This window comes from Homo sapiens, chromosome 14 (genome assembly GCF_000001405.40).
Source record: "Homo sapiens chromosome 14, GRCh38.p14 Primary Assembly".
NCBI classification, from domain to species: domain Eukaryota; kingdom Metazoa; phylum Chordata; class Mammalia; order Primates; family Hominidae; genus Homo; species Homo sapiens.
In genome coordinates this window covers 20576493-20581947 of record NC_000014.9, presented here as the reverse complement: position 1 = coordinate 20581947, position 5455 = coordinate 20576493, and the positions used below count along the sequence as shown (strand labels likewise).

The 5455-nt window shown below is 40.3% G+C and overlaps 1 annotated feature.

Moving 5' to 3' along the window:
* Positions 2997-3767: an enhancer, noted in NCBI's record as "OCT4-NANOG-H3K27ac-H3K4me1 hESC enhancer chr14:21046340-21047110 (GRCh37/hg19 assembly coordinates)". NCBI's record gives its function as "activates a minimal SCP1, AML or CMV promoter by ChIP-STARR-seq in naive H9 embryonic stem cells {active_cell/tissue: H9 hESC(naive)}" and the evidence as "EXISTENCE:reporter gene assay evidence [ECO:0000049][PMID:30033119]".

Below are 5455 nucleotides of genomic sequence, written 5' to 3'. Positions count from 1 at the left end.
AGCCAGATGTGGTGGTGCACACCTGTAATCCCAGCTATTCAGGGTGCTGAGGTGGGAGGATCACCTGAACCTGGGAGGCGGAGGTTACAGTGAGCCAAGATCACACTACTGCACACCACTCTGGGTGATAGTGTGAGACTCTGTCTCAAAAAAAAAAAAAAAAAAGAAAAAAGAAAAAAAGAAAGAAAAGAAAAATAACTGAGAAGTGAATGTGTGTTATATCCCTTAGCTGAAAGAAAACATTAGAGGGCATGAGATGGGATGATAAAGGAGATGGACCCAATTTAAAAAGGGCCAAAGAAGGGAGAGTCAGGTAGGAGAAGGAAGCTGAGGATGGACAGAGGATGGAAGGATACAGAGGTTTGTGAAAGACACCAACAGGGGTTGTTTAGCCTAAAAGGAGTACCCTTCTTGTCTCTAACATTCCCTCTGCTTTCCCAAAATAAAGTATATTAAATATCTCTTAAGCAACAATTATGAAGAAACAAGTCCCTGGCCTCAAGTACCCAAGATGGTACTGAAGGAAGGAGTGCCTTTGCCACATCACCGATAAGTCTTCATATGTTCTGTGGCGGGGCTCACCATGCCTTCCAAGAAAGTCATTTCCCCTCATTGAGATTCAATTTTCTTATCTACACAAGGAGGAAACTGGATTAGGTCTGGGTTCTCAGGCATAGATGTGCATCAGGATCACTGTGGCAAAGTTTTCAGGTTAGCCACCCAAATCAACCCACCTTGCTCCCAAGGCAAAGGGATGCAGTGAGGCACAGGATGCCCAGCCAGACTGACTTTCCCAGTCTCTGTGAGCAGAAGTAATTCATGCTGCTTCCAAGTCCAGGTCTTACAACATTGGACTGGCCTCCTCTGTGACTTTTTTCTTCCCAACAGCTAGATCGCCAAAATGGACATGTGTGCCCCAACTTTAATCATGCAGATAATGGCAATGTCCTAGAAATGGCCTGAACGGTAAAATGGAAGGAGGCCACATCCCTGAATAATTGTTAAGCACAGTTATTTTGCTAGCCTGGATTGCTCATTTTGGGACTGTTATATGAGATTAAAATGTTTATATATTTTTACCCACTATACTCTGATATTTCATTCCATGAGCTTAGCCTTACACTAACAAATTCAACAGCTTTTGGAGCTATTATAAATACAAATCCCTGGGCCCCAATCCCAGAAATTTGGCTTCTATCGATCAAAGATAAGACTGTAGCATGTGGGTCTTTTAAAAGTGCATTAGGTTTATTGATGTGCTGCAAAGTTTGAACTCTACTGGATTAGATGAACTAAAGTTCTCTTTTTAATCATAGGACATTCTAGTCCTGATGAAGGAAAAAAGCTTGCTGCGTATATATTCAGAGCTTTTGAAGACAACACTGAGGCAAAATAATTCAGTTTAACTCAAAGAGCTTCCACCTCCTACACAGTCTCCCAGAACTAGCAAGGCAGTCCTTTTATGCTGAAAGTCCTTCACTATAGGGTACATCTGTGAGCAAACGCAAAGTCACTGTAAGAGGAACTCATGTTTCCAAAACAGTGACAAGTTAAAAGAGGTGTCACACACATGAAATGCCTCCTTTTCACTCCAGCAACCAGAGAACTGGCTGATTTGGGATAACATGGCTGTTTTAAATCCTTAATCCTTCAGGTTTCAAAGCATGCTGAACTTATTCGAAATCATATATAGCAATCATTACGAAGATGTTTAATGGTAATAATCATAATAACAATAGAGCTTTTATGATGTGCTAGGCACTAGTTTATTTACTTTTTATTCTCAGAAGAATGCCCAGGAGGCAAATACTATTATTCTTCCCCCTTTAGCGATGAAGAAACAGAAGCACAAAGACTGTAGGTAATGTACAAGGTCACGTGTATAATAGGTGGCCCCCCAGGAGCAAACGAGGATAGCCTGATTCTGTAGGCCACACTTTTCGCCACTCATCTTTATTTGAAGGAAAACAGCAAACTTGCTTATAACCACACAGAAAGATAAAGGTAGAATGCTCCTGAAAAAATTCTACCTCACAGGATTGTTTTGAGGATTAAATGGCAAACCATTATGATTAATTTCATTATGATTAAATAAGGACACTGTGCTAAGTAGATAATTGAAAAAAATTCAATGTATCAAAAGGATTGATATCTTTAATATATAAAGAGGTCATCAGTTTAATAAGAAAAAGATGTAAATGTAATATAAATTAAATCAAGGGGCTATCATAGTTTGCCTACCCAATCCACACAAATAAGATTAAAAATAGAACATAGTGGGGGCATAGGTACAGGAAGGGGATGTTCTCATGCAGTCCTCCCAGGAAAGCAAATTGATGCATTTGCTGTCTTTGAGGAGAGCAATGTGAGCTAAGCCCCGTTCTAGTTTCCAGGCCCTCTGCACATTTGGCTGCTTTGCCTCCTTGTTGACACTCCCCTCTCCTCTTAAACCTTCTTTAGGTAAGAGACTTGCCCCAGTCAACTCTGGCCGAGGTGGTCTTTGAGGAGGCGTCCTCACTGGAGGCTTGAACAGGTCCTGAGGTTTGTCTCACACAGGGTCAAAGGGCACGGTCACAACGGCTGGCCAAGCTTCCGGGCTCTGCTGCTATGCATGTGTTCCCCTCGTCCTCCCCAGCTCAGGCTGTTCCAGGAACCCCATGTTCTCTGTGAGAATGTGGGCTGAGCTGTCTGACCTGTCATGTTAAATGTCCCTTCGGAGATCTCTCCTGGGTACAGGAAACAGATGCCTGTTAGAGGAGGAATATGAGGTGGGAGGCAGGGTTGGGAAGATAAACCCTTGACCCTGCCCACACAAAGTGTGATCACTTCCCCCTTCTTTATACCTTTCACCTTCTTCTTTCTTTTCTTTTATTTTTTTGAGACAGGGTCTCACTTTGCCACCCAGGTTGGACTGCAGTGGCGCGAACACAGCTCATCGCAGGCTCGACCCCCGTGCTCAGGTGATCCTCCCACCTCAGCCCTTCAAGTAGCTGGGACCACAGGCGTGCACCACCACATCCAGCTAATGCTACCTTTCCCCTTTTTTCCGTTTACATCCCTTCCTCATCCAACTTCCATGCTCTCTTCTCTTGACTAGATTGTGCCCTCAATACACATCTCCCTTTTGCACACTGCCATGACTTTTGTATTCTATTTTCCTTTTAGGCTTTGCACTGTTCAATTTTATGTGTTCTTTTCTGTGTGTCTTGCATTCACACTCACTGTTTGGGTATACAGTGACAAGTTGGACAGATTTCTGGAGCCAGGCCAATTATAAGACTTTCATTTAAAGGCCGATATTCAATGTGTCTTGGTTTCAGGCCCTGTGGGAGCAGTCCACACACTAATGCAGGGCTTGTGGAACATGGGGGCCTACTTTGTTTTGCTGAGTGACGTCATCCACACAATCGCCCTCTCTGATTTCCCTTTCCCTCTGGTAGTTCTCTAGCCTGATCCCCTTCTGAATGGTGTCCCCACTGTGCCCCAGCTCTGGAAAGTCTCCTGCTGGGAGGAACTTTACTCACATGCAAACCATGTAAATTGTTTACCATTTACAATTCTACCAGCAATCTAGGAGAAATTCAGTTCCTCAACATTCTTACCATTACTTATTAAAGTTAGTCATTTTAATTTTAGCCATTCTGATGGGTGTCCATTGGTATCACATTGTGATTTTAGGTTGCATCTCCCTAAAAACTAATGATATTTGAGCATGTTTTTAAATGTGTTTGCCATTCGAACATCTTCTTTTTTGAAATGTCTGTTAAAATATTTTGCCTATTTTTAAATTGCATTATTTGTATTTTTATTGTTGAGTTTTCTGGATAATAGTCTTTCATCACAGATATATGCTTTGCAGCTAATACAGATGTGCAGTATTTACCAGTTTTCTCTTCAATACTGCTTTAACAGCATCCCAAAAGTTTTGCTATGCTGTTTTTGTTGTCATTCAGATCAAAATATTTTGTAACTTCCCTTTTGGTTTCTTGTTTGACCTGTGTTTTGGCAGAAAATATGGTAAATCCTGGTGGATGTTCCATGTGCACTTGAAAAGAATGTGTACTCTGCTATCATTGTGTGTTCTTTAAGTGTCCGGGGAGGTTGATTGATAATGTTGTTCACGTCTTCAATACTCTTGCTGATTTTCTGCCTTCCTGATTTACCAGTTATGGATAATAGATATTGAAAACTCAGGCTACAATTATGGATTTGTCCATTTCCCCTTTCAGTTCTTTCCATGTTTGCTTCACGTAATTTGAAGCCATGTTTTCAGTGGCTTGAGTGTTTAGAATTGTTCTGTCCTGTTGATTAATGGATCCCATTATCATTTGAAAATGACTCTATTGAGCCTGGGTAATAGTCTTCCTTCTGAAATCTATATAGTCTAATATTGATATAGCTACTCCAGCTTTCTTTTGACCAGCATCAGCACGGTGTATGTTTTCATATCCTTTTATTGTTAATTTCTTTGTGTCTTCATATAATGTACATTTCTTGTAGATAGTGTATAGTTGAGTCTTCTTTTTTTAAATCCAGTCTATATCTGGCTTTTAATTGGTGTGTTTAGACCATTTACATTTAATGAGATGATTGATATGGTTAGTCTGAGTTTAATGTCTTGCTGTTTTTGTGTTTATCCCATCTATTCTTTGTTCTGTTTTTTGATGTATTTTTGGCCTTCATTTGGACATATCAAGTATTTTTTATGATTTCATTTTATTTCCTTGGTTGGCTTTTTAGCTATACCTCTTTGTTTTGTTACTTCAGGGTTGCATTAGGATTTATAGTACACCTCTGTAACTTACCACAGCCTACTTTCAACCGATATTATTATTTATTTTATTTATTTTTTTTTATGAGATGGAGTTTCACTCTTGTTGCTCAGGCTGGAGTGCAATGGCGTGCTCTCGGCTCACTGCAACCTCCACCTCCTGGGTTCAAGCAATTCTCCTGTCTCAGGGTCCCAAGTAGCTGGGATTACAGGCACCAGCCATCATGCTCAGGCTAATTTTTGTATTTTTAGTAGAAATGGGGTTTCACCATATTAGCCAGGATGGTCTCAAACTCCTGACCTCAGGTGATCCACCCACCTCAGCCTCCCAAAGTGCTGGGATTACAGGTGTGAGCCACCGTGCCTGGCCAATAACTGCTATTTTTAGGTCAATTATATTTAAATAAATTTAAATAATGAGAAAAATCATACATAGTTAACATTTATAACATTCTTTATTCCCTTGTATAGATGCAGATTTCCATTTTCTTCCTGCCTGTATAACTTTTTAACACATATCTTGCAGTGTGGATTTGCTGGTGATAAATTCTTTGTTTTGTGTTTATTTTGCCTGAGTTTTTGAAAGATATTTTTGCAAAGTGTAGAATCTGCAGGAATTTCATTTTTCATACTTTCAGAACTTTAATGATGCTTTTGCACTGTATTCTTTCTTATGTTATTTCA